The sequence below is a fragment of the Homo sapiens genome, chromosome 3 (assembly GCF_000001405.40).
Source record: "Homo sapiens chromosome 3, GRCh38.p14 Primary Assembly".
In the NCBI taxonomy this organism is placed as follows: domain Eukaryota; kingdom Metazoa; phylum Chordata; class Mammalia; order Primates; family Hominidae; genus Homo; species Homo sapiens.
The window spans coordinates 65,465,550-65,481,695 of record NC_000003.12 but is presented as its reverse complement, the minus strand read 5'-3'; the positions used below and the strand labels follow the sequence as shown (position 1 = coordinate 65,481,695).

The window sequence follows — 16,146 nt, the reverse complement described above, 5'->3', positions numbered from 1 at the left end:
TACTTCAGTTTAATGGCACTGAAACTGAGTGATATGGTTAGGAAATTATGCATATAAAAATTACGAGGGAGGGGTTCCACATCTTTCAGTAGAAGTTTCTTATTTATAGACATTGGCCTTAATTTAACATCTAACTTGAAAATGTACATGATGTCGTGATATAATAATGATTAAGGAATGAAAATTAAATTCATTAGAGCTTTGTCTCTCTCCTTTTTTTCTCACTATGCAGATTATTTTTAAAATAGTTAACCATCATACTTTCCTAAACTTCACTAAAGAGTCTTCAGTTAATGAGAAAGTTAACAGTTTGGCCTAGTTACTTACACCTTCAATGAAGGCATGAGACATCCTTTGATACAACCACTGTAGAAATGCAAGATTAAGTGCATTTCTTGTTTGACACGTGCTAATTTCTTCTTTGCTCAAGTGTTAGCCCCTAAAGACACATGTGGAATGCCTTTCTTCAAGCTGATTCGACTCAATTCTAGCGCCTGTAAGTTGGAAACCTGAAAGAAGATTTTTGAAGATAAGGATAGATTACTTCCTATGAAAACACTTGAATGATTGAGTTGAGTATAAGCCACCAGAATGTGCGTATCAGGTTTCTACCTGGCACCCTTCAAATTTGAACGTGATGCTCTTTCATGTACTGCATTTAAAAAAATGTGTATGTTGAGTTTTCCTGCTGATACAGACTATTACACTCCTCTCAAAGAAAGTGGGTGTGTATCTCTATAAATTTTGATGATTCAAAAAACATTTTAAAAAATTTTAAAACTTTTTATCTTAAAAAAGAAACCTTATTGGCCAGGCATGGTGGCTCATGCCTGTAATCCCAGCATTTTGGGAGGCTGAGGCAGGTGGATCACCTCAGGTCAGGAGTTCCAGACCAACCTGGCCAACATGGTGAAATCCCGTCTCTACTAAAAATACAAAAAAGTTAGCCAGGCGTGGTGGTGCATGCCTATAGTTCCAGCTACTTGGGAGGCTGAGACTGGAGAATCGCTTGAACCTGGGAGGTGAAGGTTGCAGTGAGCCGAGATCGTGCCATTGCACTCCAGCCTGGGTGATGCAGCAAGACTCCATCTCAAAAAAAAAAAAAAAAAAGAAACCTTATTTATAAGAATAAAGCCTGATAGAAGCAATTTTTTTTTTTTTGAGATAGGATCTAGTTCTTTCACCCAGGCTGGAGTGCAGTACCACGATCTCTGCTTACTGTATCCTTGACTTCCCAGGCTTAAGAAATCCTTCCCTCTTCAGCACCCCCAAGTAGCTGGGACTACAGGAGAGTACCACCAAGCCTGGCTAATTTTTGTATATTTTTTAGAGACAGGATTTTACCATGTTGCCCAGGCTGGTCTTGAACTTCTGAGCTCATGTGGTTAGCCCGCCTCAGCCTCCCAATGTGCTGGTATTAGAGGCATGATCCACTGTACCCTGCTGAGAAGCAAATTCTTTATTATCTGTATGTCTCACGGAGACCAGGCTATTACCGTCTCCTTTTGTGGTTTTTTGTGTTTTTTTTTTTTTTGGTGCTTGTGTAATAAAATGTGTTTGTTATGTAACTATGTACTGAGGTTAGACAATGGGGTTGGATCCTTAGGAAGATACAGTGTGTACAGGATTTATTATTATTTACAAATTCTGTTTTACTAAGCATAGAATTACAAACATTAGTTAGGATTGATCCAGCATCTCAGAATCATTTCCTGTCTTCCTGGCCTTACTCTAAAAGATGTGAAGTGGTAAATGGATCGATGGCATTCTAAGGTTGATGTCTTTTATTATGTAGCCGCTGAATATTATTGATTATCAACTGTGTTTTTCAAACTTTGATCTTGATGAACCACCCTTTGTGATTTTGTTCATATGAGAACATGTATTATTTATTTAATGTTATCTTTAAAATAACTTTAAAAAAATAGCTTACTTTTTAACTTTTCAAAAGGAAACTCTTATTACTACCATCCCTATTATGTATTCAGCTGATTAATTTCTTATTATATAAAACTGTCTTTTTAAACTTTAAGTGAAAAATAAGTCAATTTTTTAAAGTATTGCTTTTTTTCTTAAATTCTAAAGGCAAACTTTATATTGGTATCATAACTTACCAGTGAGATTTCTCTATGGCAAATTAAAAATATATGTATCTATTAAAATAAAAAAATTAAAATGTAAAAATCTATTTATGTACAAGTGAGAGTCACATAGCACACTATAGTGGGACCTAAATCAAACTGGGAAAGAGTGGCTGAAAGTGAAGATGGGCCACTACTGGAAGAGTGACCCATACTGGGTGCCACCATTGACACAGGGTTTTCTGTTAAAGCTTGGCAAGGGTTTTTTCCTACCCCGCATGACTCTGAGAGTCAAGCCTGCCATTCAGCTAAAGAGGCGCCACGTGGGGTTTACTGTCCTCCTTTTTAAATATTGCCCTGGTTCCCTCTTGACGAGTCCCCTTATTAAGGGAAAGTGACCTCAACTTTTTAGGCCTGTAAGGATGCCGGCAGTAATGAATTTTTTAATCTTCTGTGAGGCTTGCTCTAAATTGGATTCAGCATTATGCTGGTGCATATATGTAAAAAGATGACCAATTGATATTCAAATGTAATGAGGAGGAAGGTTTACTATTCAGCATAGCCTCCTTTGTTTTTAGCCCTAGTAGGTTGTTTGCACTAAAACAATACAGCTTTCCTCTTCCCATCTGAAATTACTGTGTCTAGCTGGATAGGAAAGATATCTCTTCTAACCCACTCCAGAAATAAAATACAGTTTGTTCTGGTTTTCTAGTTTAATTTTTTTTTTAATGTGCCTAGAGATTTGGATGTGAAGTCTTAAAAAAAAACACAAAGTATTCCTTTTGAAACATGCAAATGTGTCTCTCCATCACCTAGGAAACTATTATGGGACACCCAAGCCTCCTAGCCAGCCAGTCAGTGGGAAAGTGATCACGACGGATGCCTTGCACAGCCTTCAGTCTGGCTCTAAGCAGTCGACCCCGAAGCGAACCAAGTCCTACAATGATATGCAAAATGCTGGCATAGTCCACGCGGAGAATGAGGAGGAGGATGACGTTCCTGAAATGAACAGCAGCTTTACAGGTAAAGGTCAGATCATGTTGCCCTCAATGGACCTGGGGAAGGGATGACGAGGAGGCTTTTGCATAGAGTTTTGAAAAGGATGCTGTTCTCAGGAGGGATTTTGTAGAGTCGCCAAAATTCAAACTTGGACCACACAGTGCTTGCAGAAGAGATGGTCCTTTCCCTGGTCTTCTTTTCATGCCCCTTTACAAGAATATTTTAACTTCATCAGAATACCTTAAAGGAGCTGGGGGTGAATGTATGAAGAAGGCAAACGAGAAATCAGCATGGTTTCTTTCTCTTCAAAATGATATATGTATATAAATATCTGTATTTTGTTCATTGATTTTTTTTGGGGGGGGTAACTTGCAGCATCTCTATCATTATGGCTGGTTGCTATGAAGCAAAATATGAGAATGTGTTTTATCAGTTTAATGTCAGTTGATGCTGTATAGAAGGCCAGCAGCATCCTCTTATATCTTTGAAAGCAGAGATATAATGGAAGGATATTATGTGTTCAGTTAACTTACGCAAAATTGTTATATGCCTTAAAAGGGAGAAAGATGGAAAAGTAAAATTCTAACATTATATCTATATATGCATTCTATATTATATAGCCTATGTATTACTGACTATATTATATATATTTTATCTATATTCAGGGCTGTCTACCTCCGAGCTTAGGTATGTTGTATTTTATGAAGGGATTTTCAAGGACAAGGCCTTTGGGTAAGGCCATACAGGCTGAGTACTGCACAACTCCAGGGGGTACCATTTGCAGGGTATGATGTGTGTTCCCTGAAGGGCAAAGATTGCAGTGAGCCGAGATTGCACCACTGCACTCTAGTGTGGGTGACAGAACAAGACTCTGTCTCAAAAAATATAAATAAAAAAAAAAAAATAATAATAATAATAATAATGTTGCGTGTTCCTTGGGTTAGTGCAGTGACCCAGAAGAGCTCAAGAATATTTTTTACTATATGAAGATTTGACCTTACATAGTAACTCCAAATGTAACAGCTGAGTAAGATAGGAGTAACTTCAGTCTACAGTGTTGTGGATTAGACGAACACCTTGTTTCTTCTGTTGTTATTGTACTTAAATATTGCCTTTAATATTTTAGAGTTATAGCCATGAATAAGTTATCCGTTTTCAACATATGAGATTATCCTCTCCCATAGTGGCCTTTTCTCACATTATTATACTTTGGTCATTGTTTGATTAGCATCAGCTCCAATGAAGGTGGAGATGAGTGGACTGTTTTCCCCTGTGCTACCAACTCTAACAGAATATTTAGGAAAAGTTTGTTATTTATGAATGCTGTTTGCAACCTGTATGGGCCTCACTTAGGTTTTTTAAAATTTATTAGCTAAGCTCAGAGGACTAAAATTTATCAAATGGAAATAAAATTTTTTGGATGAGTTTATTGTCATAGCAGTAGGATAGCCAAACATCTGTGCAAGAAGTGTTAGGTAAAGACAGAGGAGATTTGTTTGTTACCCTGGCTTGGCTCTTGGTAGTTGTCTTTTTAGAAACATTATGCCTAACTCATCCATATGTAAAATGACTCGCTAGGATTGGATCATGTCTGAGTTTCCCCTTTTAGCTGTATGAATTTGACTCCATGAAAATTTCTGTTTTCTCAATTAGAATGGGTTAGGCCAGTGCCTGCCCAATAGTTGTAATATCTAGAAGAAATTTGCCACCTTGTACCTATGTTTTAATTGAAATCAGCTGTTTTCATTCATTTAGGAATCTTTCATCTGTTTATAGTGGCCCTTACCAAAATGAAAACAGATCATGAAACATGTTAACATTTCTTTCAAAAAATCTCATACTTTAATGCCTTGATATTTTGATAAATAAGAATAGCAAATCATGGTATAACCTAAACCATAGTTGTGGTCACAGAAACAGAAGACTTTGGGGGTAGTGTGCGGCAAAACAGTTCTGCCAAGCAGATTGGGTGGTCCCCAAGAAGCTTGTGTGCCTGTATTTGTCCTCTATTTATTAAATAGATTTTTTGGTAGAAAGAAGGAACAAAGTAGAGGTAGTTTACTGTAAGTCTAGATGCAATTTCCTGTTTCTAACTACTATCAATCTCTCTCTCTAGAAGCCATGCCTCAGAAAATCTGACCTCATAAAATCCCCACTTGAAATCCTGGCATCTTAGAACAACTTGTGGGCCCAGATCATCATGGCCAAAATCAGTCTGATGATTAGTTTCCACACAAAACAGAAAGCCAAGTGACACCTGATTGTGTTCCTCACGTTCTTGTCTGATACCAAGAAGGCCAATAGGGTGCACTGAGGAAAAAGTGGCCTTGAGATATGCACGTGATGGGACCTCTTCACAATGTATGGAGCACGTTGACTGTCCCCTCACTTACAACAGTGTACCTGCGACAGCTGACAATCTGTCATACACTAACTCATGCTAAATCTTTCAAATAATTAACACTACCCAGTCCATAAGTATGTGAAACTAGTGGTATCAAAGCATTTTGTGTTCTGAACCACATTAAATAGGAATCCACCAGCCAGTTTGCACGTAAAGTGACAGTGGCATAATGAGGTGTCGGCTTCTGCTTGGGCCAGCTATGATAAAGGCATGAGCATCATATCAAAATGTAGAAATATTATGAAGCCATTAAATATTATATTTACCAGGATATTTTTAATAACTTGCTGCTGTTTCTATCTTAGCTGCCTTTTGCTTGAGTGTTTTGAAGAAGGTATGTCTCACTAAGACGCCTAAGTAACGTTGGGACTGTGCAGACAAAAGATCAAGGAGCCTATTGGCCAGAAGCATCTGGGAAGGCAGCCCACCCCTCCTTTCTGCAGTCATTGATTAAGGCAGAAGCTGAACAGTGAGCAGTCATCCCAGATGCTCACCATGGAACTGACTGTGAACACAAAGCAATGGGACAGTCTTCTACAAATTGTGCCCAAATTATTGACCTAAAAAGAGCCCTTGAGAAAGAACACTTCCTATGTGGGCTTAATGAAGGTAGAGTTAGACTGTTGGCCAAAGCACAGATATATACACAAACAAAGACTTTTGCAAAAATATTGTGTTTATTAGAGACAACTTAGAAAGTGTGTAACAAGGATTACATGCCTGTAATCCCAGCACTTTGGGAAACTGAGGCGGGCAGATCACCTGAGGTCAGGAGTTCAAGACCAGCCTGGCCAACATGGTAAAACTCCATCTCTACTAAAAATACAAAAATTAGCTGAGTATGGTGGTGGGTGCCTGTAATACAAGCTACTCAGGAGGCCAAGGCAGGAGAATCACTTGAACCCCGGAGGCAGAGGTTGCAGTGAGCCGAGGCTGCACCATTGTACTCCAGCCTGGGTGACAGAGTGAAACTCCATCTCAAAAAAAAGAAAGAAGAAAGAAAATGTGTAACAAATCACCACAACTAAAAAGTAACAGATTCATTCATGAACACCTCTGAGAGACATCAAAACATTTCTTAATCATGTTTCTAGGCTTTTTTTTTTCCCAATAATCCCTGATATTCTTAAACATTAGGTTGCTGACACTTCTTTTTTGTTGGTAGAGAGTGATAAAGCATTGCTTTGGAAAGTTAAGAGATAATCATTTCTATAAGAGCTAATGTTTCTCAAGTATGGACTATATGGCAAGCACTTTGCTGAGTTCTTTATGCATATACCAGGGAGGTCAAATACCTTGTCCAGTATCGCAAAACTGGTGAGGGAGGGTCAGAGCTGCCACTGCAACCCAGAAAGTCTGATTCCACAGCCTGAGTGCACACCTAGTATGCTATTTGTGTTTTAAATCAAGTTCATCAGCTTTATGGAGCCTCAGAGATCATGATTGGTTGTACACAGTGGGAGATACACATAAACCTAAAAGCATGTATAATTTAAAACGAGCTTCAGAAATCTTCTTTGACTTGGCTTATGTTGTTGAAGTCACCTTGAAAAGTCCCCAAGAGTGAGTGAGTGTGCATGTGTGTGTGTGTGTGTGTGTATAAAAGCTTGGAAGCTTCTGATTTACTATTAATAAAAATGTCATTCATGTTCGTTTCTGTTTTACAAACGATTTTTATGTGTATTCCATAAACCTCCTGAAAATCTTGAGAGAGAAGCAATCCATATATTAACTTCCCAGTTTTGCAGATGAGAACCCTGAAGGACTGTGTACCTGTTACACCACTGAACAATGGGAAAACCAGGTTCCCTGTCTCCCCATTCCATCTTGTTCCAGTATTCCATTCTACCTGTCCTCTTTGGATTCACTGGTAACCTTTAGTAAGAAAGTGGTGGCTGTGCTCCTAAATCTTTGGTAAATTAAATGAAAGGTTTTGTTTGTTTGTTTGAGACAGGGTCTCGTTCTGTGACCCAGGCTGGAGTGCAGTGGCTCAATCACAGCTCACTGCAGCTTCAACCTCCCAGGTTAAAGTGATTCTCCCACCTCAGCCTCCCCAGTAACTGAGACTATGGACACGTGCCACTACACCCGGCTAATTTTTAATTTTTTGTAGATATGTGGTCTCACTATGTTGCCTAGACTGGTGTCTAACTCCTGGGCTCAAGCACTCCTCCTTCCTCAGCCTCCTAAATAGCTAGGATTACAGGCACATGCCACCATGCCCAACAAAAGATTTTTTTGAAATCACAGCATGTGTCAGAGTCAAAACCATGACTAAGGCTGTGAATTCTTGAGTCTGCCGTGTGTCTGTGCCAGCAGCTCATTTTTGGACTTTCCATTTTCTTTCAGAGAATGAGATTCAGATTCTGTTGAGCTGAGAAGAAGATATGGAAAGCATATAAAATAAAAACAAATACTTGGATAATTTAAAGTAAGATCTCGTTGCTGAAGGGATTTTTTTTTTTCCTCCAGGAAATTAAAATTACTAAGAGATTTTCCCAGAGAGCTAATATTCCATCTTCACGCATTGTCTGGGAACATTGGCAGGACTTTTTTTTTTTTTTTTTTTTTTGTAAACATGTAGACACTCAGCGTTAAATTGAGTGCATCTCATTTCATATGTAGTGGCACTACCCTTTTCCTGTTATATCCAGTTTCTATTAAAATAGGTTAATTAAAATTTTCAAATGAAATTATTCTTTCTCCTTATCATCCTAACAGTTTACTGCCTCCTAATTGAAAAGGCTGTCACCGAGTTTGGACAGTTGTAGTTGCAATAAGAGGTCTCAGTCCCAAGCACCCATTGAGCATGCCCCAGGTGCCAGGCACTTTGCATGTGTTAATTCTGTTCTTATGCCATGTACATTATGCCCATTTTACAGATCGAGAAATATGTGCTCAGAAAGTTAAAGCCACACAGCTAGAAGCAGACAAGACTATAATCTGTGGTTTGATGTTATAACCTATCCTTCTTCTACCTATTTGTAATGTATTTGCAGGCTGGGGGACAGGTCTGGCCTGAAGACAAAATTAATCATAATTTTGATGAAGATAGAGGTACTTTTGCTGCTGGCAACTACCTACTATGGCTCACTATGTGCTAGACACTATTCTAAGCGCCTTATCCATTTAATCCTCCCCACAACCCCGTGAAGTAGAGATTGTTTTTGTCCCCATTTTCCAGATAAGCAAGTGAAGGCACACAAGGTTAAGTACTTTGCCCACATCAGTAAATGGTAAAGCCAGGATTCAAACTCGGATAGTGTGGCTCCAGGGTCAGTGTCCGTAATCATGACCTTTCATTTTTCACTGATGTCATACTGCATTATTTTTTAAAGAAATTAAGATTGAAAACTTGGGAGATTTTACATAAAAATACAGATTTCCAACTTGTCTTGAAAAATCAGAAGTTTGGCAACCCCAAGTCCACTCTCCTCCAGGGCACAAACTGTCTGGCACTGAGTGCCCAGCTCCCTTCAGCCTAGACCCACTCTCTACACGTCTCATTTGCATCTCTGGCCTGGCACTGGTGCACGGAGGAGTGTGTAGCCAGAGACTGCACCACTCTCTGCTCATTGGCGGCAGGGCAACACCTGTCCTAAGAGCTGGAGGTCCTGGTGATTCTGGAAAATGACAGGTTCAAACCAAGAAGCAGGTAGAGTAATTCCCAACTGAAATTAGAACTTTTTAAACAATTGGTTTTCTACATCATTTTTTCTTTTAGTTCATGGGAGAACTCTTAGTGTCTTTGTCTTTAAAATGTAGTTATTATACCACCTGAATATTCATCACCTGGGTACTTAAAAAGTGTACATTTTGGAACCTTACCCCAAACCTGTTTCCTGGAGGACAGAGCCAGAAATATGCATTTTAACAATCTCTCCAGGTGATTCTTTTATGCACTTAAGTGTGAAAAGTCTACCTTCCAAAGATATGCCAGAAATGAATCTTTGTTGGCTTCTAGAGAATTAAAGGTGACTCCTTTAATTCTTGCCGGGTTTTGAATTTATTTTGTTATTGATTAGTAATTTCTAAATTTTTCTTCTATGTTGGCCTAATTCCTTTCTGTTCCCTTACTTATAGTTGATCTATTAATCTGCACTCTTGGGTGCAAGTTGCAAAACTAACTCAAATTGGTTTAAGCAGGAAAGTGAATTTGGGGGTTCAAGCAAACAAAATGAGGGACATCCTTGATTTCAAGTATGAAATCAGAGATCAGAGGCTCAGTCAGTGATATTAGATGACTTTCTTCATCTTTCACCTCTCCTTTCCTCTGTGTGGACTTAATTCTCTGGCAGGTCATGTCAAGCTTTGTCAAGATGGCTCCAGCACCTGCAGCATGAGAACCTATTAGCAAACAGGCTCCAGCCTCAAGCGACCACCTCTGGCTTCATGGTTCCAGTAAATCTTCCATGTCTGACATTCAAATTTGTTTGCCTTAGATCATGTACCTATTCCTGACCTAATAACAAAGACAAAAATGATAGAATACTCCTGATTGGCAAGGAGTATGATGTAGAGCCAGGAGTAGGTCCCGTCCTGGACCATGTGGACCTGGAGTGGGGAGGGGCACCACAAGGATACCTGAGTGGTGCTAGCAGGAGAAGAGCAAATAGATGCAGGGCTGGGAATACCTACAGGCAGCCTCCTCAAGGGTGGTAGATTATTGGTGGTGGTGGTGTTAGTTTAGTAGGCTTGGCATGTCTTCCATCCAGCTTTCAGATTACCTTTACTCTCATGTGTGTCATTGGGAGCTTCTCATCAGAGAAAGCTTTGAAAACAGCCTTTTATCATTCTTCACTCTGTTTTTGCTAAATCAGAAATGTCTACAGAATTACTGTGGGAGATAGAAATTCACTACATACCCTGATTATTCAGTTTTAAAGCCCTGTGGAGATTGACATTTAATATCATCGGCCTCTATAAAAATTCAACCAGAATGTCAATAATGCCATTCGGGGATACTTTGATGACATCACCCCTGATGTTTCTAGTTAATAAGAAGGCAAGGAGACTCAAGTATTTCGAGCCTTCTTTTAAGACTCAAGTCATATCAGTCCACCCACATGATACTGTTCTGGGGGTAACTCTTGGTTTTCACAGGAACATAACTTTTTCAAAAGAGGTTCCAATCTGACTCACTGGTATAGCTCTCTCCATATTCTAAACTTTTGTATACGTTTCAGCTTAATTAACCATTCTTTGATCTTTGCCAGTGTCTACCAAAAATATTTATACAAATATAAAAATAACTTATAAAATCGTTTATACAAGAGTGGACAGTAATGCCACTGTGTCTGTGTTTTCACCCTGGATACTTTTTTGTGCCCAAACATCTTCTGACTAATGAAATCAAATGATACCTATGGAATGAGGGTGCAGATCCATCTGTGTTTTGATGGCCTTCTTAGTTTAAGAGTTTGAGTCATGAATTGGTTTCTTCTTTGACATTTCCAAGATTGTGAGCAATGCATTACTTGGGATTTTTTCCCCCTTCTTTTTAAGTAAAATAAATTTCATTGATCATTTCGATGCTTTCTAATTAAGGCACAGACATCTAAATGAAATCGAAGTAATAGTTAATGGCCAGGAATTAGGAAAGGATAAGAGCATTTAAGAATATAGATGTGTATAGTTGCATACTTCCCGGGTATGGGGTATGATTGCTGAATACCATTTTTTTTTTTTCTCTCTCTCTCTCTCTCACCTCTTCACATGATTAAGCAGCCGATTCTGGTGAACAAGAGGAGCACACTCTCCAAGAAACAGCATTACCACCTGTGAATAGTAGCATCATCGCTGCTCCCATCACGGACCCTTCTCAGAAGTTCCCTCAATACCTACCTCTTTCTGCAGAGGATAATTTAGGTCCTCTACCTGAAAACTGGGAGATGGCCTATACTGAAAATGGAGAAGTCTATTTTATAGAGTAAAGTATACCATTATTTCTACCTAAATCTCTCTCTCTTTCTTTTCCCTTCCTTCCCTCTGTCTAGCAGTTGCCAATGTAAATTACATTTAAGGGATTGATCACCCACTGATGGTATTTTTTAATAAGGTTTAATAAGTTTTGCATAAAAAGGTAATTAATTATTACCAACTTATCGATTCTCAACAGTTTGAGGAAGCATAAGGTTAATCATTTCCCTAAAGGTTTAGACAACTAAATTATGGTATATAGAAATTATGACATAATATTCAAAGAGCATATTTAACCATTAAAAATAAATATATTTTTATATATTTAAATATTTTAATAAATATTTAAATATATTTATAAATATTTAAATATATTTAAAAATAAATATATTAAAAATAAATATATTGCTTTTTTTTCTTAATTGAACTACAGTGTCCTTATTGTTTTAAGACTTCTTCATATATTCTGGATATAATTCCTTTATCATATATGTGATTTGTATGCATTTTCTCTAAGTCTGGCTTTTCTGTTCATTGTCTCCATCAAAATCTTAATTTTGATAAAGTCTCATTTATCAGTTTTCTTTTTAGTCAATTGTGCTTTTGCTGTAGTAGCTAGGAAATCTTTGCCTAACACAGAGTCGTAAATATTTTCATTTTTTACATTTTGTGTTTAGGTCTGTAATGCGCAAGTTAATATTTTTCCATGGTGCAAGGTGTATGAATTAGGTTTGAGAACAGAGAGACAGGAAAGTCTTTCAGATTTATAAAATGTAAATACTAGCTTTTCTGAAAAGGAAAAAAAAAAGCCGACATTTGAAACCATTCTGGAAAATCTAAGATAATGTGGTTTTCCTAACCAACAGTAGTCAGTTTTTAAATGCAGTATTTTGACTTTATTATCCTATCATTGAGATTCACCATGTTTTAATGTACCACTGAGAAAGAAAAAGAAAATGGCTGATTAAATTTAAAAAAAATACCACAGATTCATCTGTTATACTCGTATAGATTGAAACTGATCTACTGTTAAGTCAACAATAACGAAGGGGAGGACATTGCAGAAAACTATGAGAAGGATCTCAATTTTGCAAATTATACATGTATACACACATATCCTACATCTATTCTCTGTGAGCATTTGTTTCTGTTAATATGTAGATCAAGTTCTAGGCACAGAAAGTTCTAGAAGTATCTATTAACAGTTGGGTTTGAGTTAAGTAAATAACTTACTTTCTAACCACATTTTTCATTGATATGCGTTGTGAATTTTTTATACTTTGTGTGTGTGTGTATACACACATTTATTTATTTATTTATTTATTTATTTATTTATTTATTTATTGTTTCCCTTCCTGAGATGGGGCCTCACTGTATTGCCTGGGCTAGAGTGCAGTAGCATGATCATAGCTCACTGCAGCCTCTATCTCCCAGGCTTAAGTGATCCTCCTGCCTCAGCCTCCCAAAGCGCTGGGATTACAGGTGTGAGTCACCAAGCATGACATACTTAGCATATGTTTTATAATTAGAAAAAACAATGAAAATTAGGTAGTATGATTTTTCTAAACATATGAGAGTTAGAGAAAAGGCTTGGAACTCAGAACACCCTCTTTGACAGCCGGGTGCAGTGGCTCACGCCTGTAATCTCAGCATTTTGGGAGGCCAAGGCAGGCAGATCACCTGAAGTCATGAACTCTAGACCAGCCTGGCCAACATGGCGAAACTCCATCTCTATTTAAAAATACAAAAATTAGCCAGGTATGGTGGTGCATGCCTATAGTCCCAGCCACTTGAGAGGCTGAGGCAAGAGTATCACTTGAACCTGGGAGGTGGAGGTTGCAGTGAGCCGAGATTGCACCACTGCACAGCTTGGGTAACAGAGCAAGACTCTGTCTCAAAAAAAAAAAAAAAAAAAAAAAAAAAAAGAATACCCTCTTTGAGAATCTACCCGGGAAGAGTTCTGAGATAAGTGAAATAGAGCTTCTGTGCTATTTTCCAGCCAGAGAGAGGGGACAACCCATGTTTCTGTCTTCATGTTAATGACAAATGCTTTTTAAAGATAAGGATAAAAGAAGCAGTCTTTTCTTGAGAGTCAAGAAGTGTATTAGTTAAGAGCTCAACTAAAGGGTCATGTTGTTTCCATCATTTACAAGTTATTTGACCTTAGGAACTTGAGTTTACTTCTTGCATCTCAGCTTTCTATACATATATATAAAAAGAGGACTTGAATATTATGAATTGTACCTACCTTGTCAGACTGTTGTAAGAATTAGAGGAGATAGAGAAGCTAAAGTTCTTGGGCTAGTAGTAATTAGTGATCACTATTGTTATTGTTACCATTTTCATCATCATTATCTGTGGTTATTCTGAGGAGTTTAAACATTGTTATAAAAATGGATACCAACCATAAACTCAGGATTTTTTACTTAGCTTTTGCATTAAATTGCCTTCGAAATTATGTCACATTAGTAAAGAAGAATTACGCTGAGAAAAGGGAAGGATAATAGGTGTTCCTGGTACAGAATAATCTGTGAAACTCAGATTCTTAGAAAAGAATGTACCAGTAATTTTGTTCAAGACTGACTTGATATATTGGAAAAAGGGAAGGTGGATATCTTGATGGTTAGCAGGATGCTGGCCTCCTAAACTATGGCTGGCTTACAAGAGAATGTAGTGATTTGCCTACTTTTTATAACTTAGGTTTTAGCTGATGTGAAGCCAATGTTTCATTTACCTAAGGTTTAGTAGAAAACTTATACAAAAATGTGGCTAATGATAATTATGGGATTTGGGCTGCAACTATCAAATTTCATATATATTAAGTGATTAGATACATATCATTTATATTTTAGCCTAAATTATATATACTTGTTACTTTGTTTTCATGTGTTTTTCATTCCGAAACACTTCTTTTTAGGATATCTTCCATTGAATAGCAAATTAAACCGCATTAGAACCAGATCTACCTTGTTTATGCATGTACGTGTATGTACACTCACATGCAAATATATACACATTTGTTTTATAGTTTTTGGGAAGTTGAAGAAATAGTAGAAATTTAAAAGAACATTAAAAAATCAAGCATGGATTTATAAACCTTTGGCATTGTATAGAAAACAAACATAAGAAGACTTTGAAAGGAAGAGCAAATAAGACAGACTGGCTAGGGAGCATGGGATCAAAGGAATACTAGGTGGTGAGTTCCCTTTCTGTTTTACTCCATTTATCCAGACTTAAAGCTAAAGAGCCAGCAACCCAGAAATGCCTACAGATAGAGGCAAATAAAGCCCTGATAAAAGCGTGCTCTCTCTAGCCAAAGGATCAGGAAAGGGGCATCCTACAAGACAGAAAACTTTTATCCAACAACCATTCTACTCCAGCAACAGTGCAGAAAAACCTGTGGTCCTACGCCCCAAGGGTAGAAGCTTGACAGGCTGTGGGACTAGGAGCTGAAACCTCCCTGCTGGGTGGCGTCAGAAAAGGCCAAGTGTAGAGCTGGCACTTTGCATCCAGGCAGTAAGGAAATTCCCCTTATTTCCACATAGATTTAGTGGAGACCACTTGAGGGAACTCAGGACTTCCACCCCACCTGGCAGTAATGAAACACCCTCTTCCTCCCCACTGGTGTGGTGTCAGAGGAGGTTTAGAGGAGAATCAGGATTTTTACCCCCATCCAATGGTGAAGAGCCCACCCTCTCCCTGTGGAGTCAGAGAGGCCAGCTTGGGAGCAATAGTGAGATAGTCCTACCCCTCCCAGCCTAGCTGGTATCAACAAAGGCCTGGTGGGGAGCTCAAGCCACTATCCCCACCCAGCGGTAAGAAGGAGCCCATTCCCCTCTCCGGTGTCAACAAAAGCCAAATGGAGACCCCACCTAAAAGTAACAGATAGCCCCCTTTCCTCTTTTCGGCCATATTAGGAAAAGCCCATAGAAGGTTTAAGATCCAGACCCCTATAATGTAATACCAAAAAATCCATGTTAATAAAAAAAATCACTTATTATCCTAAGAATCAGGAAGATATCAAAATGAGTGAAAAAAGGCAATGAGTAGATACTAACACAGCGATAACAGCACTGTTAGAATTACCTAACAGATTTTAACGCAGCCATCATAAAATTACTTCAGCAAGCAGTTATACCATGCTTAAGCCAAGTAGAAAATTAGAATGTTTCAGCCAAAAATAGAAAGTCTCAGCAAAGCCATAGATGATTTAAAAAAAGTAGAAAATTTTCAACTGAAAAATACAGTAGCCAAAACAAAAAGCTTAGTAGATGGATTCAACAGCAGAAGAGAGTGGGGAGAGGAGAGAATCAGTGGACCTGAAAATAGAAATTACCCAATAAGAACAATAGAGAGAAAATCAACTGGGGGAAGAAAACCAACCAACCAACAAACAGAGCTTCAGGGGCATTTGGAACAGTAACAAAAGATCTAACATTTATTTCATTGGAGTCCCAGGGGAATAGAAAGTGGGTAGGACTGAAAAGAAAAGTACTTGAAGAACTAATGGTTGAAAATTTTCTGAATTTGGCAAAAGAAATAAACCTACAGATTCAATAAGCTGGCTGAATCCAAAGAAAACTACAGCAAGACACATTCATAGTCAAATTTTTGAAAACTAAAACCAGAAAAAGGTTGAAAGCGATGAGAAATGACACCCTATGTATGTTAGTGAAACAAGTAAAATGACAGCATATTTGTCATCAGAAACAACAAAGGCCGAAAGGAAGTGGCATAGCATTT

General features: G+C 38.1%; 1 protein-coding gene across 6 annotated transcripts in view; it reads left to right on the top strand.

The window, feature by feature from the left end:
• The window catches only part of MAGI1 (membrane associated guanylate kinase, WW and PDZ domain containing 1), a 685,393-nt gene that overhangs the window by 557,223 nt on the left and 112,024 nt on the right, over positions 1-16,146 (top strand). For 3 of the 6 annotated variants that reach the window (NM_001033057.2, NM_015520.2, NM_004742.3), the window contains exons 4-5: positions 2,898-3,104; positions 11,212-11,413. In NM_001033057.2, the coding sequence (NP_001028229.1) occupies positions 2,898-3,104; positions 11,212-11,413 (409 nt within the window). Of the gene's footprint in view, positions 1-2,897; positions 3,105-11,208; positions 11,414-16,146 lie in introns of all 6 variants that reach the window. The other 3 variants (NM_001365904.2, NM_001365903.2, NM_001365905.1) reach the window with 1 other exon arrangement.